We start from the raw sequence: 26456 nt of genomic DNA on the forward strand, positions 1-26456 counted from the left end.
TCATCTGAATTGACCTTATCAGTCAATAGCACGGGCCGTTTCATTAAAATAACCAATGAATAATGTATCATAGCTTAGTTTAAAGTTTCAAATATGTTTTTAGACAGAAACATTCCAAGCATGCAAGTCAGGTGTATTTCCCAGATAAATAACAGTCTGGGGACGTTGCCCGTACAGGGAAATTCTCTGTTCTCAAGGAAATTTTCCCTTCTCGGGTTTCCTGAGGTTGAAATCCAGCGCGCACGTCATTAATCATTCACTGAGGTCGGTCCCTCAGTCAATGGCAGGTCTGGGTAAGCTAAAGCGAGCAGTTAGCTAACCCTTCCTGCCACGGGGATCCTGGGGCGAAAGAGGACAACTGGGCGGTCAGTTACATGTGCTGGTGTCCAGCCGCTGCCTCTCTTTCCCCGGTCGGAGCGCGGGGGTGCGTGTGCCCTCACTCTCACGAATACAGACGGAGAGCTTCCCAGAAGGAAAAACAAATTCGTCATAATGTTCAGCGCAGCCGAGAGTTTCCAACAAGAAAGCAGCTCCAGTCGTGGCATGATGACTCAGGGTGGCGTTTTAAACGCTGAATAAACCCATTCCTTAGCTCTTTAATAAATCGCTAATAACAGCAAAAACAGCCTTCTCCCCGAACCGCGCCACACCAAAGGCTTCCCAAGTTGGGCTGCGAATCCCTGTTTGGTTTTCCAACGCCGAAAGACGTAGAAGCAGTGGGATCTCCTGGTGGGACGCATTTCTCCAAGGGCTCCCAGAGAGAGGACGAGATAGCAGGGTTTACAGGGCAAAGAGAGGAGAACCTGGAAATCGTGTCCTGGGGGGCAAGAGTGCGTTGCCCAGTCACAAGTGTGCTGTAGAGGTGGGAGAGGACAAGGACCCATTTCCACATTTCAACCCTCCGTTTCTATCGCTGCCCCTGGAGGACTCAGCTGCTAACGCCGAGCTCGTTTCCACGCGGCTCTGGTCCTAGTCGGGGAATCCGGGTGGCCGCGCGACGCGAGAGAACTGCTGGGATGCGTGGCCCTGGTATGGGCGCACCCAGCGTCCGGGGCGCAGGTTCTCTCAGCCCAGCTTCTCCTCCCACTCACTCGCTCGGATCTCCTCCCTCCTTCACATCCCCCGCCCCCGGGACCGCGAGGCTCCCTCCCCGCACCGGCCAGTGAGTACACAAAGCCGCGGGTGAGGGGAAGCTTCGCAGGCGTGCACGGAGCAGTGAGATCACTGGCGTTATAAATATCCCGGTGCCAGCGCGGAGATCCGCTCGGGTGGCCTCTCTCTTCCCCTCTCCCCTTCTCTTCCCCGAGGCTATGTCCACCCGGTGCGGCGAGGCGGGCAGAGCCAGAGGCACGCAGCCGCACAGGGGCTACAGAGCCCAGAATCAGCCCTACAAGATGCACTTAGGACCCCCGCGGCTGGAAGAATGAGCTTGTCCTTCCTCCTCCTCCTCTTCTTCAGCCACCTGATCCTCAGCGCCTGGGCTCACGGGGAGAAGCGTCTCGCCCCCAAAGGGCAACCCGGACCCGCTGCCACTGATAGGAACCCTAGAGGCTCCAGCAGCAGACAGAGCAGCAGTAGCGCTATGTCTTCCTCTTCTGCCTCCTCCTCCCCCGCAGCTTCTCTGGGCAGCCAAGGAAGTGGCTTGGAGCAGAGCAGTTTCCAGTGGAGCCCCTCGGGGCGCCGGACCGGCAGCCTCTACTGCAGAGTGGGCATCGGTTTCCATCTGCAGATCTACCCGGATGGCAAAGTCAATGGATCCCACGAAGCCAATATGTTAAGTAAGTTACTCGCTCTCCTACAAAACCCGTCCTAGGCGGCCGCGGAAGATTCGGGAGGGACAGCAGGTATTCGCCGGGACACAGGCTCACCTTCCTGAGCCCAGGCCACTGGGACCAAGCTGATACTCAGAAACAGCCGGGCGGGTTGGGTGGAGATGCATCTATATGGCGTGCGCACACGCACCCCTCTCCTGGGCATGAGGAATTGCGATTTCTCAGGTGTATGTTACCTAGAGGCTGGTGCCCAGACGGGTACCTTGTTTTCAGTTTGCTCTAGCCTCAAAGACGAGTCCCCAGCCATGACAGGAGAGAACAAAAAACTCATTTCTTCTCACTCAATTTGTTTACCTTCTGCTTATGAACTAGCCTGGCATTTTTCATTAGGCATCAAAGGCAGCCCTTCTCCCTATCCATAACTGAAGTTATTTTTTGAAAAGAAGAATCAAATCCCAAATACTTCCCTCTTCCATCCGCTACCATAAACCTCAAATTAATATTGTATATGTATATGTATATATGTATATAAGTCTATGTATACAATGTATACACATAGGTAGATAGATAGATAGATAGATAGATACACAGATAGATAGACAGACAGATAGATAACTAGGGGACACCAGACAGACATTCCTGCTTGGAAGAAGATTGTGCTCTAGAAAACTGGACGCGTTTAGAGAGGGAGACATGATAAACATTGAAATTACTAACTCCAGAGTTGGATTTAACAATGTTTAGTATCTTGAGACCATGACTACACCGTATTAGGAGAGTGGCCAGCCTTTGGTCCCCAAGAACAGTTAGGGGAAAGTTCCTTATTTTAGAAGAAACGCAGAGGTTAAATTTGGTAGGGGTGCAGATTTTGTAGGACTTTTTATAAACAAAGTTTTAAATTTTCCCTCTGAGTTTTTTCTTTCAGCACGCTCTCTTTTTTCCTTTCTCATCTCCTCTTCCCTTCCACCCCATCTATGTTTCCAGACCATCGCAGCCACTCCTCTGGTTTCTCTTCACTGCCTCTAGGCAGCTGGGGGCAGGGACGGTTTGGGGCTGTGAGTAGGAGTGGGGAGATCTCTGTGGGGCTTTTGCTCAGTAGGGCCAGATCGCTCTTCCAGCGCGGGTTGGTCCACCAGGCAGAGCCCCAGCCAGGGCCTGTCAGGTACCCAGGGAGACCGGAAATGTAGCCAGGAGACAGCAGCGCTCACAGTCACCTGGTTTCAGTGTCAGCCTGGTTGCTCCTAGATGTTCCTAACTTGCTCCATCTCAGACCAAAGACTCCACGGGCCATTGGGCTCCTTCTTACACAGGCTCCAGAGGAGCGTGGACACCACCGGCGGTCTGAAGATTTGGCAGCCAGCAGTCTCCAGAGGGGGGTCGGAGGCGCGCAAGTGGGTAAGGCGGTAGGCTGGCTAGCCTCCTCCGGTGGGTTAAGGGGGCCTAATGCGGAAGACCTGATGGTTCATGCTGAGAGAAAAGCAGGTCTATGCCCGCCCCTCTGCGCCTGTCTAGTCTATCTGATCGCGCTGATTCAGCAGCCTGCGGCGCACGTGGTGAGGGCGCCTGGAGCGCCCAGCTGGAGAGAGGGCCCTCCGCACACGCACCAGCGAGTCCCAGGGCCTCCCTCACACTCCCGAGAGGAATCTATTTCCATATTTTAGAGTTTATTTCACTCATCGAATAACTGCTCATTTGGGGGATAAAGGGCAAGATCTGTTGGGGTGAAATGGAATTTTCTGAGATTTGAGGAATAATCAGTAACATCTATTTATTTCCATTCGTCCTTCTCATTTTGTCTCAACGGTCTTTTGACTCCATCAGCCATCACAGCTTATTCCCACTTCCGGCAACCTTTCCTTCTCTCTTACAAGAAAACTTTCTTTCTTCTGTTCTTCTTGTAACGACCCGTGGAGTCATTGGTCTGAGATGGAGCAAGTTAGGAACATCTAGGAGCAACCAGGCTGACACTGAAAGACAGGTGACTGTGCGCGCTGCTGTCTCCTGGCTATGTTTCCACTCTCCCTGGGTACATGACAGAGCACCAACAGAGGATAACTTCCGTGAGCTCAAGGGCGGACCCCAAACTAGCAGGCAGCAAGCAGCAGGTTGGAGCCCAGGGAGCTCAGAGAATGCTTCTGGGGAGGGTTTAGGTGTGCTAGAGATCTCAGAAAGCAAGGCTCATTCCCAGGATATTCACCATCTTCTCTACGAAGACACTATATGAGACGAAGGTAGTTTTACAGCTTAGGCCTTGCTAGAGGGGGTGTTGTAGAAAAGCAAAGGGGGGAAAATAAGAGCAGATCAAAAAGAGTGCACCCAGATAAACAAGACATTGACCACTACCCAGTATGTAACATGTACATTTTCTTTTAAAATCCATGTTGAAAGATATCTACAAGAGAACAGGGATGTTTCCTAAAACAGTGCCGACAAAAAGCTTAATTTAAACTTTTTCCTAATTTATTCTTGTTTACAATAACCTTTCAGAGTTTAGTTTCTGTGTCTTTCACATGACTTGCTTTCATTCATGCCATAAATCATGTACCCAATATAAGATACCTATCTCACTAAGCATGATATTTTGGTTACTTTTGTGTTGTTTGTCTTCCATAGAGTTTTTTTTTTTTTCCCCAGAAGAAAGCATAGCAAATATTCAAATCATAGTAATTTTCTGCTTTGTGATATCTGGAGTGTCTAATACTACTTCATAAAATTTTTACTACCTTTGATCAATGCAGAATTTGCATGTAATTTGGGAATTTAACATGGATCTCTGCCATTACCTAGCTGTAAAAGAGAAACAGAAACTTGCTAATTACAATTGGTCATTTACCTCTTTGAAGGCAGTAGTTGATGTTTCCTGACATTCGTGTAAACTAAGGTGTTGGCCATGGCCTTTCTTAGAGTATGTGAGGAAATGTGTTTAAATCTCCTAAGAGAGGCTGAGAGGGCTGGATCAAGGGCCACAGAGGATACCTCAGTTTGATCTCATCTTCTATTTCTACTGTATGTGAGTTAGTGATGATAGAAAACCTATTCTTTTTGTTACAACCCTGATACTTCAGAAAAGTCAAAGCTTTGCCATGAAACTGCATTCTAACAAGTTATTTTAAACCTAATAATATTCTGTAGTATTTGTCTGATAGAACAGATAATCATATGTGTTTCGCAAACTATTATTTGACAGTAAACTTTTTTTTTTTTTTTGCAAATTGCAAATGTTTTCTGGTTTCACCATGAGAAGTGCACCATGGCCATGGACTTTCAAACATAATTTGTTTAGTTTACATGGACCAATTAATATACTCTTAGCTTCTCTTACACAATAATTATCCCAAGTTTTGAACACAGAAAATGAAATCAAGCTCATTGTATATAAATCCTTATTATGAGGAAATACTGTGGAAAAATGAAGAAATATGAACAAGGCAAGATAGATGACCCAACTATTGCATGGAAACAAATGGTTTGGTTTAATTTATACGCCTTCAAGTTTAATGTCAATACAGTGCTTCTGTTGACTTACCTTGGGCCATTGAAGAATAGGCAATCAAGTAGTTGTCAGTTTAGGGAAGAAAAGTTTAAGGCTTTGTCAAAGCGTTTACATAAAATATGAAAATTCCAAGCACATATTTTGGTTAATAGAATCGTCGATGTTACTGCTTTTTAAAAAAATCTAAATTCACTACCAATTTTGGGGTCATGTGGAGTCATTAGACAGTCCCCCAAGCCTAGATAAATCAGAATCTATATCTACTATGCAGAAAAATCAAGTGGAAAATTTCTGTTGCTAATTTAATCAGTGAAGACTGCTAAACTGAATATTTCAAGATTCAGATTTCATAACTTGGCACAGCATATCTGTTACTTTGTGGATGCAAGTAGAGAAACTTCAGTTTTAAAATATTTTTGTCTGGGGATTTTCAGATGCGTTGTTGAAAGCTTCTGAATACATGGAATATCTGTGCTTTTCTATATTTTATTCATTAACAAAAGAGAGAAAAAGGAAAAATGTGTATAGTTGTATCAACCACTATCAGTAGAGCCCTATTATATTAAGAAATCTGCAGAGGACTAAGTCAAAAATCTAGAAATATGTTTTTTTTTACGGAAGTAAGCTTACATCATAATGCATAAGTGGAATAGACTGTGTGTATAAGCTGAGAGACACCAAGACATTCTTGCCTTCTTCAGCCTAGGTGTCAATGCTGAAATTCCACAAAGAGAATAATTCCTTCTGTTAAGCATTCTCCTCTTCTTTTGACCCTCTTAAATGGGAACACCTTAAGAAAAATAACACACTGTCTGTAGCACTTTAATGTGAATTTATTTACACTGAGCCACCCGTCCACCCCGTGCCTTCTCAAGCAGGAGAAGGCCACAGTAGCAGGAGAGTACTAAGACACCTGTCCATACTTGTGTATGCATGGGGTGTCCTGACAAGAGAAAAGAGAGGTAGTGAGAGGATCAAAGAAGGCAGTCAAATTTAGCAAACAGTCATTGACTATATACCATCTACAAGACAAGCTTGGCCTTCCACAGTTTGGCTTAGAAATACTGCCTTGGCATCCATAAGGAGAATTGTAAGTTTCCATCAAATTTAATATGCGTGACTCCCGATGATAAAGGTCAGAAAATTACTGAAATTAAAAAAAATCAATGTCAGAGAAATGTTTTCAGAAATTTATATATTTGTGATTTAAGGCACATGGGTTTAAAAAATTACGTAGAATTCCTGAATGAGTTACTGAGATTTGTCATAGCAAAATCAATAGGCCTGTGATGTTTTGGGGAGGAGGGCAGGAAACTGAACTGTGAGACTCATTGAATCTGCTCCAGAAAACAAGGCATTGTGAAATCACTGCTGACATTACTTTGGAAATTATGATCATAACAGTGTTCTTAATATTAGGTCATAATTACGGTAAGATTTAGAAGATCAATACCAAAGTTACTCACGTGAAAAATAATTCATTCATCTAGTCTCATCTCTTACATCTCCTGCATTCTTTATAATGTTAAATAGAATGACATATGTAAAGTGTATTTTTAAGCTTTCAGTTAAAGATAATTTTCTTAAGGTTATAAAATCTTTTAATTCTCAGGCACTATATCATTTTTATCCTGGAAGTTTTAAGAAGAAACCCAGCAATATGTAATACAATAATAACACTTTCACATATATTATTTCATCTTCCCCATATTTAAAATACATTACATGCAACTTGTACATAATATATACACAGAGTGTACACTGTATTGAAATACATGTTAAATGCATCTAAATGGGTCTTTGTTTAAAGAGAGAATGAGCTAATTATCAGAAACTATTTATTTAAGCAAAGCAGTAGTATTTCTATTAAAACAAATATTTATAAAGCCTTTTTATCTCAACATCTTAAAAGTTAGCATATAAACACATACACTTATGAGACTTTAATCTTTTATTCTGCCATGTATTTTTTCATTAATATACAATATATCTGCATGTTCAAAACCAGATAATTTTCCAGGGAATGGAATTAAAAGCCTCTAACAATCTAGCACCATGAGTAAATTGGAGGAAATATACAATCAAATCTCTCCTGTATCAACTCCATGTTGTCCCTTTTGTATCCATCATTCCACACATATACAATTTCCTTCTTTCTTTCTTTCTCATTTTTGAATGCACATGTTTACATAAATATTCACAATCACATCCCCCATCTCCCAAATATCTAAAATCATTAATGCTATTCCCAATATCATTCCGTATTTCCAATAGAAATTTAACTTTGTATCACTGTTATAGTCATGCTTTAGTAATAATATTATTATAACATATTACATCTGTGTAGAGTAACTTTACAAAGCATTTGGTGTGTTTTGTTAATATTTGATAAAATGATAATGCTTCTAAACCTTTAGAAGCACACTCAAACAATGTTCATAATAAATCCTATTATAAATAGCATTTAAAAACATTTTGAAGGAAAGGATTTATACAGCACTGGTGGTTTTTTTTTTCAGTTTCCTTCTAAAAGCAAAAGTAGTTTCCAATAGTTTTTGATTTTTGTTTTTCAATTTAAAGAAACACCTATTAGTGAACTGGTACCTGCAGTTTCCCTAAAGTGTGTTTTATTTACTTTGGGCTAAAAACATCTATTTTTTAAATAAGCTGTTCAGTTATCCCCTTTTTCACATAAACTTTCTAATCAAGTTTTTTAAGAAACCAAGTTGAATAAATAAACAGCAGTGCTTGCTAGAATTATAGATGTTAGCTCACATTGCACAAAATAAATGCTCAATAAAGTTACTCACATATATTTATAAAATATTTCTTGTTTTTGGTAAACAGAATAATTTTATATATACCTCAAATACTGCAGGGAGAGTTTGCTATTTCAAGAAAATCTGATGAATTTCTCTATTTGGCAGAGTCCTATTGAGATATCCTAATTAGTATATATGCTTAGAATATTATAGATGGAAATATTGAGATGTTCTTTTTTCCATCCCTTTCCTTCTTTGTTTCCTTCTTTTCTTCCTTCCTTCTTTTCCTTTTTAAAAGTAGAGATGCGGTGTCACTATTTTGACCAGGATGGTCTTGAACTCCTGGTATCAGGCGATCCTTCAGCCTCAGCCTTCCAAAGTGCTGGAATTACAGGCGTGAGCTACTGCACCTGGCTTCCCTTTTTCCTTTCTAAGACAGGTCCCTTTTTAGCTCTATTGAGCTAAAAATCTCTTTTTAAAAATTTTGAAATAGACAACTAATAAAACACATTATAGCTCTATTGAGCTAAAAGTCTCTTTTTAAAAATTTTGAAATAGACAACTAATAAAACACATTATGCTCTTTTCATGTTCATATAAAATACATAAATTTATGTTAAATAAGCAGGCTTTCTAATTAAGTGCAGACTATGTGTTTTATCTTATTAAACTACTCTATGAACAGTGGTGTGTAATTCTCTTGATCCAGTGGACGTGAATTTTGAAATTACTGTAGGAGACAGAGGGACATTGACTTCATAATGCTAACTATAAAATACAAAATTTATACAACAATGTAATAAATTATTTCATTAATTTTTTTCTAGGAAATGATTCAAAATGCAAGATGTCTCAAAGCATAATCCATTAAACATTTCATTGAACCAATAATTTCAAGTTATTTATAATGCTTTCAGTATCTTATATGTAGTCTTTAAATGCAGTCACTAAAAGACTGAGTATGGTATATGTTTATTTGTAACTACCATTATAACCTTGATAATTAGAGTAGAGGAATTTATTTAATGTAAATAAGTATTATTTTCCAGACTTTCAAATAGTTATACTAGTCTTGAGCACAGATTTGTGCTTTAATGTTCAAAGTAGTGTATTATCTTTGATGAAGAAACAATGGAGGAGAATTATTTTGAAAAACATTTTTTAAATGTCTTTTTAATTTCTTTAAAACCTGAGAAAACTTCATGCTCATTGTTTACTAAAAGCAACTTATTTGTCCAAATAATTACTGATGAAGTAGAATCAAATTTTTGAATCTTGAAATTATTTTAAATGAACACTTGAATCCTAGCCTTCTTTGTTTTTAACATAGTGAATGTCATGAACAATAAGGATGTTAAATACTAAGTTCTTTTTTAAAATCACAATAATAAAGAATGGAAAGAATCTATGTAGAAATTTAATTCTTCACAATGATATAAATAAGAGCCTGTGTTTTATTTTGGGATTTCTGTCATCCTAGGTGTTTTGGAAATATTTGCTGTGTCTCAGGGGATTGTAGGAATACGAGGAGTTTTCAGCAACAAATTTTTAGCGATGTCAAAAAAAGGAAAACTCCATGCAAGTGTAAGTAGAACCACTTTATATTTGTTAAAGGTGCTATAAAGATTTTACATTTGTAAAACAGAATAATTTTCCAAATTCATAGGTAAGAAAATTTGCCCAAAGAACTTAACTTTTAAAAAGTATTTTTACATTTAACCAAGATAATTTTGTGCGCTTCCAGAAGTAATAATTTAAATATTTAATTTACTTAAAAGATATTACAGAGTCTACAAAAAGTTTAAGCATAAATGTATTTGAAAACAGCATTCTCAAAGGGGCAGCCATCCACTTATTTCTTAGAAGTGGCCCACGTAAGAAGGAATATGGCAATAATATATTTCATCACATTTTAAACTTACAAGTTTATAGTGACTGTATTTGTGCTAAGTAGATGAGGTTCTTATTTAAGTTTACAGGCTACTCATAATACCAAATTGGGTCTCAGTAATGTAAAATATTTTCATATTAACAAGCAGGGAGGGAAAAAACCAATAATTAGAAGACTCTGACTTTCATAGACAAATTTTATTTAATTAATTTGAAGAATTTTTATCTTGTATTTTTGTCACATCAAAAATAAAGACTTCTTAATACTATGAAAACTAATTTTGCATTCTCAAAAATTTATTCAGACCAGTTTTATATATTGTAATCAATTCACAAACTATTTATTTGCTTTGTTATGAAAGTTCCCATTACCTGGGAAGTATTAAAACATTTTAAAGATAATAAAATATGTTCAGCTTAGTTTTCCCACTCACAGATTCTATTTATTTGCATTAGTATATACACGCTGCACTTAAAGGTGCTTTATGCTTTTTCTCTGGCATACTTATTTTCTTCACATTAAAACATTTTGAAAGCAATTATTCTTTAAAGTTAGTCCTTTAATCCTGATTCTTTATAGTCTTTATTAAATAAATTATTGGAATATCACTTTTTCAGTTTTCAAAGTTATAGAAAGTTTCAATTGATAGCAATAATTGAAACTTACTATATATAATTTGATTTGATAGATCTTTAAAAAATTCAATGAGAACGCCACTTGGTTTAATGTGTAAGACTTTTATAATTTTACTTTTCTTAACATCTAAAGTGATTTGTTAATATCTTTTGGAAGAGACAGAATTTGAACAATTTCTATAGTTATTTGAGGATTCGATGAGATAATACATGCAGTGTGCTAAGAATACTATTTGGTGTGTTATAAGTGCTCAATAAATATTGCCTATTATTATAGGGTTAACAATCTAAATATAATCTAAATATAATAAATTACTAAAATTTCAGTTTACTAACATAAATGGAAATCCTTTGTTAAACACTTAAATCACTCATTGCAAGAACTATTAAACAATTTACCATTTCATTTTTTGAGCTGGTTACTATACTCTAGCAAGATGTAGTATAATATTCATAGAAATATATTTTTCTAATTTTTTCATTTGTTTAAGGGACAACATTCTGCATCACTGTGAAAAAAGTAGGGTATTACTTTTTTAAATTTATTTTTTATTTCAATAGGTTTTTAAGGAGCAGGTGGTATTTGGTTACATGAAAAAGTTCTTTAGTGGTGATTTCTGAGATTTAGGTGCACCTATCACCCCAGTAGTGTACACCGTACCCAATGTGTTGTCTTTTACCCCCAGCCCCCTCCCCTTTCCCCCTGAGTTCCCAAAGTCCAATGTATCATTCTCAGGGCATTTAATTTTATTTTAAAATATTAGTTAAAATCCACATACAGATGAGTTCTCACGAGGGCTGGAAAAAAAAGTAAAAAAAAAAAAAATCCACATACAGAATTGAAAACAATGATTAAACACATCTAAACGGAATAACTTTTCCTCAGTCTACTTTAAGTTTATAAAAGATTAAAACACCTTTAAAATCTAACCTCATAATAGTACACAGTGCATACAAAGAAACTTTCTCTTACTGGTTTGTTTTGAGTGAAAATCTTAACTTTCAAAATATTCTGATTTATGCCATAGTACATGCAAAAAAAATAGACTAAACTTGGAACAGCTTAAGGATAATTGCCACAGAAAGTAACATATTACAAATGGAAGCCAATTAGAAAGGTCAAACTGAGAGGTTAAGATACATGATTCCTCTGTCAAAGGCAAGTAACAAATTTCTAGAAATTTGACCCAAATGTCTAAGGATGGCTGGTTGAAATAATGCAGATAATGCAAAAACAGCATCTGTTATTCTTTCTCATCTTGGCAGGCTAAAGTTATTTCATAGAATAATGACTTTTAAACAGTACAAAGCAAGTCTTGCTCTTGTCACTCACTGAAGCTCTTTGATATAAAAGTCATTCTGATGACTTTGAGCTAAATTGTAGATAAAAATATTAAGCCTATGATTATGTGGATTCTTTTTAAACCAATTATCCAAGCCCACTTTCTCTTATCTGAGCATTTATTAGCACTTTTCCTCTAGGTGTAAACCTAATTAAATTATAAAGTGATTTATTTTTTAAAGATGTTGAATTTAGAAATAGTATTAATGCTAGCAATTACCAGTTTTATGCCCAGTTGGTTTCTTTCCTGTTTTCACATTCTAGTTAAACATGCTGGGAAATTGTTTTTGTAACTCTAAATATGACTATTTGATTTAGTTAATAGTTTTGATTTTTACGACTTTACATCATCCCCAAAAAAGGTTAAAAACTCATAGACTTTTAGGATTAAACTTGTAATTTGTGAGTTGCTTTAAACTAAAAATTTTGCGGAGGCATTTAAAGGGTACTTTTAGGGTTCTATCTACAAAGCAAATGTAAACTAAAAATATAAAATATTAATAGAATTCTGGGAAAAGTAATCCCCCACTGTACTGAGAAATATTCATGGATACTTGTAAATATTCAACTCAGTTTTTGTAATAATAATCAGAGTACTAAAAATTAGCTACTAGGCAGAGATAATGTACTTTCATAGTTCTTTAAAAGCCCTTTTGCTCACATTATCTCATTAGATAATGAGGTGACGAAAGAGTCTCATAGATGTTAAATTATTTTCCCAAGGTTACACAGTTAACAAGTGATTGAACCAGAACTATATCCTCCTAGAATTTTCTCTTTCTTTTTAAATGCTATAGTGCTTGGTAGATAAAAGTTAGCTTCAAAGAAGATATTAAATTTTGTTTGGAATCAATTACATTGTTTTCACCTCTTAGTGTATAGAAATTAATATGTGCGTGAAAATATTTTTGTATTACATATACAAATGAATACTGTGGCACATCATTAGAATATTTATAGCACTCTATTTAATAGGCAAATAAACAGGCAATTTAAGACTTATAGTTAAAATTGTAAATTTCCCCATTCTAGGTACCTCTTTTTCTCTTTGATTCATATCACCTTTTTTGAACTGGTGTTTCCCCCATCTACTCCTGGGTCTCCAGTACTTTACTTTAGAATCTAGAGAAGAGGGGATGTGTCTGCCACAGAATTTTACAAATGTTGGTTATTCATTGTCAATGATGAGTTGCATAGGGAACTCCTGCCTCCCGAGATAAACTTTCAAAACAGAAAAGAGATCTGTTTTGCTCACAGAAAACTTCATTTAGTAAATATTTTACTGCCATAGACACAAATATGGCAGACTGAAAGGGTAGGCCAGAGCAGATTCAGGCAGCATTGATGCTGATTCCATTTTTGTGCTAAATTTATTAATCCCATCAGATAAGTTTTATTTGAGCTTCAGCCATCTAAATGTGGGCTCCCTGGACTCATTCAAGCCCCTGATCTACAGGCAGCTCTCCTTCAAACTTTTATTGGTATACTCTAAATATGCAGTGCAACCAAATTCTTGTCGTGCAGGTTTTTCAGCATTCTTTACAAGGATGAGGATGTATGGTCTTCTCTTTGTCCAAATGTATCAAGAATCATCAAGAGCAGGAGGAGATAATTACTTTCCAAAGAGCCATGAGGGCTACTCCAAGCCACAGCTGTGGCCTGTACTCTCTTTCTCAACACATTCCCATGCTAAGATACCTTCTGAGACTGAGCACTCTTTCTCCCTTTATCTGTCTGTCTGTCCCTGCTCCCTCCTGAGGTTGGCATCCTTACTGAAAGTCCCCTAGAGAGCCTTTCTGGATTTATCTGAGGTGGGTCCAGACTAGGAGTGAAAGGCCTTGAGTGTGATGGTAAAGACACAGTTAGATTGCCCCAGGCTGAATCCTACTCTACCACTTCCTAACTGTGTCATTTTACTTCATCTTTCTATTCCTTGGTTTTATCAACTACAAAAGAAGGAAAATTAAAGTCACAATCTATTGGGATAGTTAAGTGTTTTAAACAAGATAATACACATAAAACACTTAGAGTACTGCCTGAAAAGTGTTCCACACTTAATGTTTAAACAGATTTTCCTGAATTTGCTCTCAGGCAGCTGTTTGACAATCCTTAATCTTTTTCTTTCTGATTTTGGGGTCAGGCAACTGTGACCCTTAAATTATTCAGGCCAGCCCCAACTCCTATTTATCACTGACCTTTTCTTCCTCACGTCCAAACTTTGTGTGCTTATAGGTGTCCCTTATCTACTAAGTTTTCCTTTCACCAAGGAACCTAATTTCAAAGCAAAATTTCCAAGCTCAACCTCTTAAAGAGGCATGGATTTCCTATGGTTATAATCTTGTGACTTTTTTCATAGCTCTGTTGTCCATCTTGATTTTTCCCTAAATATATAAATCTTGGAAAAGGTGGTTATCATGTATTCTTCAGTCTTTTCATAAAGTATGCAGAAAGCTCATTGCTAATTAGGGAAAAACATGTTACCTTATTTTAAAGATCCAGAGAGAAGCATGTGGTGGAATTATTTTTGTTTCTCAGGGTTTTAGGGGATCATGTTTGAAAGGAAAGCTAATTGCAGACTTTATGAAACAGGCATGGAATGTGTGCTTGATCAGTCCTAAGCAAGGAATAGATCATCCTCCTTTCCTGGTTTCAGAGGGTGCCAGCTGGCTTGCCTGGGATGAGACTCCAGAATGGACTTCCTGCGCTGCAGGCAGAGTGAAGAGGAGTCAGCAGCCCCTAAAGCTGAACATATTTACTGAAAGGGGAAATGGAGGCTTGAGTAATACTTATCATCCTCATCAAAAAATAACTTACTAAGCACTCCACTCTGCCAGTCAAGACCATGCATGAGCTAGATCAAGGCATTTGAAAAGAATATTTTTTTGCCCTCTAAGAGCTTTCAATATACAGTAAAATGGAATGTCTAGCTATTCAGGCACAAAAATGGGTTTAAACTCTGCCTTCGCAGTAAATGCCAGTTTCCCCTCAGTTTTGCACTGTGGAGGTCTAGTTAAAAGACCTATTTTATTGAGGAAATCTGGATGTGATTGCCTTGTAGATTCAGAAATCCATTTTAGCAGAAAGTGAGACATGGTAATATATTTCTTTGATGATTTGAAGAGTGACACTTGTCATTCATCAATATTTTAACAGGAAACAACTTCAGAGCAAGTAAGATTGTATGAGCAAAGACTAGGCAATAGCTTTGGTTTGTATAGTGTTATGGAAAGACCCTTAGTCTAGGAATCAGAAGATGCAATTTAAATCACAGGTCTATTCTGGCACTTAATAAATGCAGGGTGATAGATGGATCATTTTCTTTACTTCTCTGGCTGAAAAAAATCAGATAATACTATCCTAATAGCAGCCATGGAATTACTGTGAGTTAAATTATATATGTAAACCACCTGACACAGAGTAGTCTCCAATAGTCCAGCTATATGGAGTTATTAAGGGCCTCAGAAAGAAAGTCATGCTATACCATGTTTTGCCTGGTGTGGTCCTTACTTCAAGGGTATCAAAACCACATGGGATGCTGGTTAATGATACATCAAGTCCAGGGTCTCACCTCAGACTTAGAAAAACACAGTCCCTGGAGATAGGGCTTGAGGAGCTGCATTTGAGCCTGCTCTCTGAGTAATTTGAAGGCAAATTATGTAAGTGAAGAAAAGAGATCCTGTAGTTGATATTCTTTACTGCATTATCTCAGGTTGGGTGATATTAAAGCCAACTTGTGTATTTTGTTGGTTGCTCAGTATGAAGAACTGAGATATAGAAGGAACGAATGTCCAGTACCAAGCAGGAGATATGGCCGTGCCTGGGAGATAGCATGGCAAGGCTACAACTGACCCATACACAGCTTATATAGTAAAGAGTAAGAAGTAGCCCTCTGGGTGCTTGCTATCCTGTACCAGGGCACAAGTATAAAAAACGAACTGAGTTTAGGGTACCTGTCCCAGGCAGCTCCATTGGTGGAGGGAAGGGATGGGAACCAAGCAGGTCTAAAAGGAGGGAGGGGAATTAGAAGTGATGCATGTGACAAGGAAACTTAGTTTAGAGCAAAATTTGGTCTATAGTTGTTTTTATTACAGTCTATGATAACCTTTTTGTTATTTAATAATATTAGTCTATAACAACATTTTGATTATTTATATTTGGCTTTTTTTCCCTTAACTTTATAAGGTTTTTCAGGAGAAAGGGGCAAATCAAAGAAAACAAGCTGAAATAAATCATTAAAATTGATTAAGTACACACAAATTCCAAGGTTTATACTGGTGTCTGTTCAAATTCACTCCTATTTCTATATCTCATATCCTACATATTTAGTTCTGTAGTTGCACGCAAGAGTCGGTATTTGCACAGCTTTAATTCATACTATACAAGGTACTCAATCATCATAGATGGTGATATTTACTAAGGAACAAAACCACAAGAAGGGATTTTAGAGAGATTTTTTTAAACAATATCATTTTGGAAATAATTTATTTGGTTTAATTGACCTGTTTAATTTTGGCTTGGCAGAATTAGTCATTTCTGGAATATTGTAGTTAATCGGAGTTGTGCTTTCTTTGAATTCAATTTGACCGTTCAAAAAATATCTGTTGTTTAAAATTGATCCTTCACTGTGAGAAGGGGTGAGGAGAGCCACAGTTTACTTCTAGTGAAAAAGTTCTTTTTTTTTTTGAGATAGAGTTTTGCTCTTGTTGCCCAGGCTAGAGTGCAATGGTAGGATCCCAGCTCACTGCAACCTCCGCCCCCTGGGTTCAAGCGATTCTCCTGCCTCAGTCTCCTGAGTAGTTGAGATTACAGGCGCGCACAACCACACCTGGCTGATTTTGTATTTTTAGTACAGACAGGGTTTCACCATGTTGGTCAGGCTGGTCTCGAACTCCTGACCTCAAAAGATCCACCCGCCTTGGCCTCCCAAAGTGCTGTGATTACAGATGTGAGCCACCGTACCCAGCAGAAAGTTCTTATTTCTCTTAATAGTAGTGTGTTTCCTCTCCTTGTAATAATCTGGATATTCAAGAAAAAATAGTTCGATTTGTTTAAAGTTCTTTTTTTTTTGTCAATTAGGAGTATATACTAAAGTACAAAAAACGCTGATTTTAAACATTTCATTTTAATTTTGCAATTATGGTTTGTTGAATGTAACCTGTTATTATTCTTGCCAGATCAAGGAGAAATTAAAGAGATTTTAATGTAATTTAAGTCAACAAAAACATGGGCAGGACCATGTTAATACTGTTTTCCACTGTAAAAGTGGCACCTAGCACAGTGCCTGGCATGTGATATCTGTGGAATAAATTAGTGAAAAATGAATATGAAACTTTTTAAACAAATATTTAAACAATTGCTTTCATTGTAGTGGCTGATGGTGGTAAGGCAATTAGATGAAGGAGTCTTGATTTCAGCAACTTATCTGAAATTTGATTCATCTCTCTACTTCATACTCTTTAACTATAGAAAAAGTCTGTTAATTTCAGGGGTTTTTTTTCTAGAAAAATAATGGAGTTCTATCATTTTAAAAGTGTATATTTTATTAGAAGACTTATAATTTAAAAAAAAGATTTAAAAAATAAAAATCAGCCTGGAAAATTTATTGTCCAAAATTTTCTAATGGTAAATGTATGTATTTTAGTACCTCTAGCTAAGACCTATGACTCTTTGCTATAAAGATGGTCCATGCACAACATTATGTATAGAGATATACTGCTTAGGGTCACCATCTTGTCTGAGCCAGACCGGGAATACTAACAGGAATAGTCAATCCTTCAAGATGAGTAAATTCACTGAAATGTTTGTTTCAAATGATTCTGTGTTCCATCACAGCTGGAATAATTTTTCAGACAAAACATTAAATTAAAAGTTAATTAAGAAAGCCAAAACAGTCTAACTGCGTTTACTCCCGTATTAATGTAGAATGTAGGATTTGGATGGCTGAGGGGCTGTGTGTACTGTGTAGATCCTTAGAACTCTACACACTTCTACCCTGGGTAACAGTTAGGTGACCTTTGAAAAATCTGAAGTCCAAATAGCCATCTCCATAAAGGGCTCCTCTTAAGAAAGAACTTTAGAATATGAATCTCGAGGAAAAGAGGAGGAAAAGAGAAAGATTTTAGATGAAACAATTGTAGGGGGTGGGGCAGGTGGGTTTCACTCATATGAAAGATCCTAAAATGGAAATGATATAGATTCCTGTTTTAAAAAAAGAAATGCTGTGGTGTGTGTCTGCACATGCACCTGTGCATGAGTGTGTGTGTGCCTGTCATCTACATTAGTTAAAAATGACATGTTCTTTCTTTATTTTCTTGGGCACTGTTGGGGGAAAATATTAAATAATGTAGTACATTGTAAAAACCTAACTCTGTCAAAATTGAGTAAAGCAATCACCGCTGTTTTTGTGAAACAGAGCTGGAAGTCAGATCAAGGCATAATGTATTACACATTTTCAAAAATGTCATTCAACTGCATTTTAAGAAAAAAAAAACCCGAGACAAGATAAATATACCTGATACTCTTTTTAATGAAATGTTTCACACCTTTGTAAAATTCTTGTGATCTGTTTATAGAGCCAGAAACATTCTAGATGTCTATAGCTTTTATTTTGAAATAAAATGTTGGGATTATCTAATTAAATGGGAAAACCATTTTAAGAGCTAAGCAGCTGTAGACAAATCTACAATGAATTTGTAAGCAAGTCTTTCTAATAAAAAATAGGAATAGTCAATGTGTGGTCTTCGAAAGTGATGTCAGCATAGCAGTCCGGGCCTAAATGCAGGCTGGCAAGGTGTATCGTAGACAGGGTGAAAGGGATGCCATACATAGGTGGTGATTGTTTATAATACCTGCCTTCGGCCGGGTGCGGTGGCTCACACCTGAATCCCAGCACTTTGGGAGGCCGAGGCAGGCAGATTATCTGAGGTCAGGAATTCGAGACAAGCCTGGCCAATATGGTGAAACCCCGTCTCTACTAAAAATACAAAAATTAGCTGGGCATGGTGGCACACACCTGTAATCCCAGCTACTCAGGAGGCTGAAGCAGGAGAATTGCTTGAGCCTGGGAGATGGAGGTTGCAGTGAGCCAAGATAATGCCACTGCACTCCAGCCTGGCCAACAGAGCAAGAACCTGTCTCAAAAACAACAACAATAACAAAACAACAACAACAACAACAACAAAGAAACAAACAAAAAATACTTGCCTTCAGCCTGCTCGAGATCATATCCAGAGATTCACCAGTAGACTTGTGGAAGATCTACATATATGGCTTCATAACCTGCCAATGGAACTTTGTTGATTGAACTACACTTAAATATAAGTAACTCCAGTAAACTATTGTACATAAAGTGAATGTGCTGTTGGAAATGCTCTGATATTGGTTGGCTTCTACTACTGTCAGTAACCTGCACTGCTCAGAAACTCCATGTGGACTTCAACAGTGGATCTATGTAGATTGCCTTGCAATATTCAGATTTTTAGATTTCTGTGTTATGATCAGTATTTCAAAGAAAAGTTTGGCATTATTAGAAAAAACAAGGAAAAAAAGGCCATTTTATTCCCGTATAAAACTTCTTGGTTTGATATAGAAGTATGTAGCTTTTAGTGTTTTTATATATAGGGGACAAAATATTTGGTATTCTCAAACACGGGAATTCTGTGTAAATAGTACTCCTTGAAATTATGAAACCTGGTAGTCTTAACTAGTACAGGAATTCTTAATTCTTTGGGGGTTATGGGCTCTTTCAAGTTTGATGAAAGCTACAGAATCCTCCTTTGGATTCTCATAACAGCCCTATTGTTGTAAGTGTTATGGATAAGGAGGCTAAGGCTAAGAGCTTAATTGGCAGAACTGGTTTTTGATTGCATGTCTGACTCCAAGTTCACACTCTTCCCCCATTCTCCCACATATTCCTTCAAATTTTACTACATGGCAAACTAAGCTCTTTCAGAGCTGGTGCTGACCTACATTGTCTGGCTCATCTCCTTACTTCCCACATGCATCCTAGGTAGAGGTCACGCTGAACTACTTACAGGTATTTGAAAGTGTCATGTTGACCTTTCAACACCCTGTTCCTTCTCCCTGAAAATCCTTTCTTATTTTGCCTTCCTCTCTAATGCTAGTTAGAGAACATTCCTAGTTGTACTTGAAGACTCAGCTCAAATGTCACCTTTTATAGGAAGACTTTTCTGCCCTCTTCTTGGCCACCTCCACCCTCTTAGATGCCCTTCCTCTATGCTGTCATTGTACCCTCTGCATACCGCTGTCATAATTCCATTTATCAAGCTGCACCATGACGGATGTCTACTTGTCTGCTTTTCCACTATTCTGTAAGCATTTCAAGGGCAGATATTTTGTGTGTGTGTAAGATCTGGCCAAAGTGTAGTTAGTAACTCGAGTGACTTTTTTCTTCTTGGAGTTAGATATACTTTCCTGTAATGCCTGAGTAAAGATACGTTATTTTTTTCTAAAGAACTCTAACACGTGCAATATTAATGGGGGCCATATGCTACTTCTCTCTCAGCAGCCTCAATCACACTGATAACATTGAAAAAATGCAAGCTTGTTTCAAAGGAATAATTTTGACCTCATTTCTGTGAACAGGAATTTATATTTTACCAGGCAATCATTTCTTAGTAATATAGTTCCATTTATTTTCTTAGTGAGTTAGGAGGAAAAACAGTATGTAAAAAGATTTGTAACTATACATTTCAAAGTATTTAAACAATAGTAACAGGGTTTAAATGTATCAAGAGTTCTGGTTACTTTTATAGTCATCGATATTATGTCACCAAGTAAGTAGGGAACAGAAATGTGTTACAAAGATAAATGAAGTAGAAATATAGAAAGAAAAATAGTAATTTTAAAGCAACTTTAAAATAAGCAAACATGTCTTTATAAAAAGGAATTGAGTAGGAGGAACAGAGATCAACAAAATTATTGTTTTTTTTTCTACAATACCTTATGTTTTATTACATGCTGAAAAGATCGCCACAACTTAAATTTCCTCTTTTTTTCTCCTCCTTAGGCCAAGTTCACAGATGACTGCAAGTTCAGGGAGCGTTTTCAAGAAAATAGCTATAATACCTATGCCTCAGCAATACATAGAACTGAAAAAACAGGGCGGGAGTGGTATGTGGCCCTGAATAAAAGAGGAAAAGCCAAACGAGGGTGCAGCCCCCGGGTTAAACCCCAGCATATCTCTACCCATTTTCTGCCAAGATTCAAGCAGTCGGAGCAGCCAGAACTTTCTTTCACGGTTACTGTTCCTGAAAAGAAAAAGCCACCTAGCCCTATCAAGCCAAAGATTCCCCTTTCTGCACCTCGGAAAAATACCAACTCAGTGAAATACAGACTCAAGTTTCGCTTTGGATAATATTCCTCTTGGCCTTGTGAGAAACCATTCTTTCCCCTCAGGAGTTTCTATAGGTGTCTTCAGAGTTCTGAAGAAAAATTACTGGACACAGCTTCAGCTATACTTACACTGTATTGAAGTCACGTCATTTGTTTCAATGTGACTGAAACAAAATGTTTTTTGATAGGAAGGAAACTGGAATTCTTTGTACTAATACAGGGAGCACACTCCTTCAGTTCAGCAAGACATAAAGCCTTTTGCTTTATGCTTGAGGGATATTTAGAACTTTGTATTTTCGGAAAGTTAAATAACAGGGACTACGTATTTTTCTGACTTTTACAGATTAACCTGAAAGAACATACATGATACATTTTTATTTTTGGTTTCCAAAGAATATTTTGATGCAGATAAAATATTTTGTTAACTTTTGTTTTTTTTTGTTTGTTTTCTTAAAAGTACCTCTGCATTGAGCATATTTTCTTACTTTTATTATTTTAATTAATATGACATAAGCAATCATTTTATGCTGTTTATGAATTATAAATGTGTTTATAGCTCATTTGTAATATGGAAATCTTTTACATTTTTCCTATTCACTGCACTTTTTTATTGTTTTTATTTCTAGCCATACCTCAGATAATATGTTTAGTTTTACATTTTAAAATGTTTAAATTCTCTTTCACAGCACCAAAGGCTCAGCTTGGATTTGTGTGTATGTGTATGTCAATTCATGACATTATGTGGAATCCTAAACCTTTGGTGGCTGGGATATGATGGGTTAGAAGCAAGGAGAAAATATAAGGACTTTTTGATGGAATTAAATGTGGGAGGTAAGGAAAAGGATTTAGAGGTAAAAGTACACTAAGTTTGCAACATTTATTGAGATCTAAGTCTGTCTTGCCTTCATTTCTCTTTTTATCTCCCCCTTGCCCTCATTCTTGAACAGCTGGAGGAATACATTTTATTCTGTCCATGAAGCATACACTATGAAATTCAAGTGCTTAAAAATACTTCTATGACTCTCTGCTATCCCACTGTATAGATCCACAGGGAGCAAACACTTAGAAATGATAGAGAACTGAAGGAGATCAATGGTTTAACAGTTATCCATGCCAAGTCCCATTGTCAGAAATATTCTTATTACTCAGTCAAACACTCTTTGAGCTTCCCTTCCTAAAGGTAACCAATCCAGTGAATAGATGTGCCCTTTTATAAGGAAACTTCTGATGTTTATTAAAAAAACTGGCCTTTTGATAGAGGTAACTTAATTTGGGAATTTGTTGTGTTGAAATGGCATTTAATTTCAACCTAAATACTGACTGCTGGACATAAATCACAGAAAATTTAACTTAAGAAAATTTACAAAATTTATTCTCAGGTAATCATTTTAATAAAGTTCTGCAAAATACACGTTTATCTTACATTCAGAAATGTGGCAAAAAAGGCATAGCTAAAGGCTAAACATATGGCTTTAGTAGTAACAAAAGGGTTCATAGAAACTTCATGGTTTGCATTTAAACATGTTTAAAGTGTACTTATAAACTATTTTTTTCTTAAAGCAAACTATGATTTATTTTGGTGCACAAATACAAAGTGGAAACTTACCAAAATTGAACTAGCTACCATATAAGCAGATTGCTTTAATTTGATGGGAAAATAGTACACACATATATATAACAAATAATATATTAAAAAACCCATCCATCAACTAAAACATTATATGTATACATCAGTATAGTGTTTTATTATAAAGCCAATTATCTGATTAAGCATTCTTTCCACTGAATGCATAATGTTTAAATAGCATAAAATGAAATGCTACAAAAATTGAACTAATTTATACTTTAAAGTATTTCTGGGTTAAATGAAACAATGAAATTTTTTAGTATGTTCAACTCTCATCCAAATGGCATATGACCCTGTTTACACAGCCTAAAGCTAAAAATATTACTCTAGTTTATTCTAATCTATTGTTAAGTATTGTGCACTGTATACCAAGTTCTTAGGGCACATGAAAAATTTTAGCTGCCAAACAGGAACTAGTAAACATATGTTCCTAATAAGTGAAGGGAAAGATAATAATGATGGTCAACAATAAGCCACGTCAATGCATAAGTTGTATAGGCTAAATGTTGCTTGTAGGCTACATTAAACTCAAATGTAATAGTTTATCTTATACTCCTGGTTTGATTTGATTAGCATATTAACGTGAAAGTAGGATAGCTACTAAATATATATTATGCAAGTCAGGAATCATTAATTTCAAAATTTAAAGCCATGCTAAAATTAAAAAGAAAATATTAAATTACACAATTACACTTGTCTTTACTGGCCATACAAAATGATTTTTTTTTTTTTTTTGAGACAGAGTCTTGCTCTGTCACCAGGCTGGAGTGCAGTGGCATGATCTCGGCTCACTGCAACCTCCAACTCCCTGGTTTAAGGGATTCTCCTGCCTCAGCCTCCCAAGTAGCTGGGATTACAGACTCATGCCACCACGCCAGCTAATTTTTGTATTTTTAGTAGAGACGGGGTTTCACCATGTTGGTCAGGATGGTCTCAATCCTGGCCTCTTGATAGTCCTGACCTCATGATCTGCCCACCTCGGCCTCCCCAAAGTGCTGGGATTACAGGTACAATGATGTATAATTAATGCTTAGTGAAGCATAAAGTTACCTACATCAATTAATTAAATGAACTTATGTACAGAAAACATGTATAAATATAAGTCTATACTAATGCTTACAACTTTCTAAGAGGGTTCTTGCTTATGTAGCTTTTTATTATTTTAAGTAACTAGAACCACCAAATATCAAATAAAATTATTTGGTTATGGTTATGTTCATCTAAACACAACAATAACTTTTATATTAATATTTAGGAGTCTATTTTGTCTATAGGTGACAAACATCTCCAGACTAACATGTCAGTTTTATCAATTATATTATGTTTAATTATTTAAGATTTCTTTATGTGGAACATCTATAGAGATAAATAGAAATTTTCAATAAGATGTAGTAACACTGTGATTTATCTTTCAAGAGTCTCTCTTCACTTCCTTCTAAAGAGACTAATTTGAGAGTACAGGTGCATATTAATTTTCTTGGTTCTTTCAGCTGAATTATATTGGTCCAGAAGTTCAAAATCATGTGACAATAATAAGGGATACTGACAGAAGTTATTTCCAAGTTTGTGTATATATTATAAAAATTACATATATAAAACTAAGGCTTTTATTTCTGTTATTTTTAAGCTTTTATTTCTTGTAGCTAAAAATAAAACATCATAAATCTGGTAGGTAAATTTCTTATTAAATCAATCTTGAAATAGAAAATGTAATAACTTTCTTACCATTAACATTTTTTACCCTTCCATAGAAGGGAGGGAATAAATCATGACTTATCCCATTTTCAATAACAAAACGAAACTATGGCACTAACCAAAAACTTGCATTCTGGCATAATTTTTACAGTTGCAGAGAATTGTTTCTGGGCTCATTAAAAAAAGTAGTATTGCAGACATTGCTGCAATGGGAAGCAGACAATAACTTCTTAAAGGAATTCTACACCTCCTTTAAGATTTACTTAATTGCTACATCTAAATTCTGATAATTTAAAATCCATTTTAGGTGATAAAATTTTTTAAAAGTTTTGAAGGAAACCTCTGGATAAATGGACAAGGCCTAATTTTTTTTTGTAGTCAATCCAACTGTACTGGCCAATTTTTGAAATAAGATTATATGATTAGGTATTAGCAGAGACAAAGAGTTACCTCCTCCATCTTACTCTGCCCTATTTGAAAGTCTCAGGGGAGAAAAGGGAACAAGATGCTGATCCAACCTGAGTGGAGTCAGGTGAGGCATCTTTACATCTAAGAATTTTTTTTTAAATTTTATTATTATTATACTTCAAGTTCTAGGGTACATGTCCACAATGCACATGTCTGTCACACATGCACACATGTGCCATGCTGGTGTGCTGCACCCACCAACCTGTCATCCAGCATTAGGTATATCTCCTAATGCTATCCCTCCCCTCTCCACCCACCCCACAGCAGGCCCCGGTATGTGATGTTCCCCTTCGTGTGTCCATGTGTTCTTATTGTTCAATTCCCACCTATGAGTGAGAATATGTGGTGTTTGGTTTTTGGTCCTTGCAATAGTTTGCTGAGAATGATGGTTTCCAGCTTCATCCATGTCCCTACAAAGAACATGAACTCATCATTTTTTATGGCTGCATAGTATTCCATGGTGTATATGTGCCACATTTTCTTAATCCAGTCTATCATTGTTGGACATTTGGGTTGGTTCCAAGTCTTTGCTATTGTGAATAGTGCTGCAATAAACATATGTGTGCATGTGTCTTTATAGCAGCATGATTTATAATCCTTTGGGTATATACACAGTAGTGGGATGGCTGGGTCAAATGGTATTTCTAGTTCTAGATCCCTGAGGAATCGCCACACTGACTTCCACAATGGTTGAACTAGTTTACAGTCCCACCAACAGTGTAAAAGTGTTCCTATTTCTCCACATCCTCTCCAGCACCTGTTGTTTCCTTTTTAATGATTGCCATTCTAACAGGTATGAGATGATATCTCATTGTGGTTTTGATTTGCATTTCTGTGATGGCCAGTGACGATGAGCATTTTTTCATGTGTTTTTTGGCTGCATAAATGTCTTCTTTTGAGAAGTGTCTGTTCCTATCCTTAGCCCACTTTTTGATGGGGTTATTTGTTTTTTTCTTGTAAATTTGTTTGAGTTCATTGTAGATTCTGGATATTAGCCCTTTGTCAGATGAGTAGATTGCAAAAATTTTCTCCCATTCTGTAGGTTGCCTGTTCACTCTGATGGTAGTTTCTTTTGCTGTGCAGAAGCTCTTTAGTTTAATTAGATCCCATTTGTCAATTTTGTCTTTTGTTGCCATTGCTTTTGGTGTTTTAGACATGAAGTCCTTGCCCATGCCTATGTCCTGAATGGTATTGCCTAGGTTTTCTTCTATGGTTTTTATGGTTTTAGGTCTAACATTTAAATCTTTAATCCATCTTGAATTAATTTTTGTATAAAGTGTAAGGAAGGGATCCAGTTTCAGCTTTCTACATATGGCTAGCCAGTTTTCCCAGCACCATTTATTAAATAGGGAATCCTTTCCCCATTGCTTGTTTTTGTCAGGTTTGTCAAAGATCAGATAGTTGTAGATATGCAGCA

General features: G+C 36.8%; 1 protein-coding gene across 3 annotated transcripts, besides 2 other annotated features; it reads left to right on the plus strand.

Moving 5' to 3' along the window:
• Positions 958 to 1489: an enhancer, noted in NCBI's record as "H3K4me1 hESC enhancer chr4:81187513-81188044 (GRCh37/hg19 assembly coordinates)". NCBI's record gives its function as "activates a minimal SCP1, AML or CMV promoter by ChIP-STARR-seq in naive H9 embryonic stem cells {active_cell/tissue: H9 hESC(naive)}" and the evidence as "EXISTENCE:reporter gene assay evidence [ECO:0000049][PMID:30033119]".
• On the plus strand, positions 1187 to 25616 carry FGF5 (fibroblast growth factor 5). Of its 3 annotated transcripts, none has more exons than NM_004464.4 (3): positions 1263 to 1778; positions 9508 to 9611; positions 20924 to 25616. In NM_004464.4, the coding sequence occupies exons 1-3, from the start codon at positions 1424 to 1426 to the stop codon at positions 21269 to 21271; spliced, it is 807 nt and encodes a 268-aa protein (NP_004455.2). In that variant the 5' UTR covers positions 1263 to 1423; the 3' UTR covers positions 21272 to 25616. The 3 variants fall into 3 exon arrangements, with proteins under 3 accessions (NP_149134.1, NP_004455.2, NP_001278741.1); NM_001291812.2 differs by lacking the exon at positions 1263 to 1778 and adding an exon at positions 2867 to 3167; NM_033143.2 differs by lacking the exon at positions 9508 to 9611 and having other exon boundaries at positions 1187 to 1778.
• Positions 3232 to 3802: an enhancer, noted in NCBI's record as "H3K4me1 hESC enhancer chr4:81189787-81190357 (GRCh37/hg19 assembly coordinates)". NCBI's record gives its function as "activates a minimal SCP1, AML or CMV promoter by ChIP-STARR-seq in naive H9 embryonic stem cells {active_cell/tissue: H9 hESC(naive)}" and the evidence as "EXISTENCE:reporter gene assay evidence [ECO:0000049][PMID:30033119]".

Source organism: Homo sapiens, chromosome 4 (assembly GCF_000001405.40).
Source record: "Homo sapiens chromosome 4, GRCh38.p14 Primary Assembly".
Taxonomy (NCBI): domain Eukaryota; kingdom Metazoa; phylum Chordata; class Mammalia; order Primates; family Hominidae; genus Homo; species Homo sapiens.

Coding starts and splice junctions, on each gene's coding strand:
- FGF5 (NM_004464.4), top strand. CDS start 1,424: ATGAGCTTGTCCTTCCTCCTCCTCCTCTTCTTCAGCCACCTGATCCTC. Junction 1,779..9,507: donor CCACGAAGCCAATATGTTAA/GTAAGTTACTCG, acceptor CTGTCATCCTAG/GTGTTTTGGAAATATTTGCT. Junction 9,612..20,923: donor AAGGAAAACTCCATGCAAGT/GTAAGTAGAACC, acceptor TCTCCTCCTTAG/GCCAAGTTCACAGATGACTG.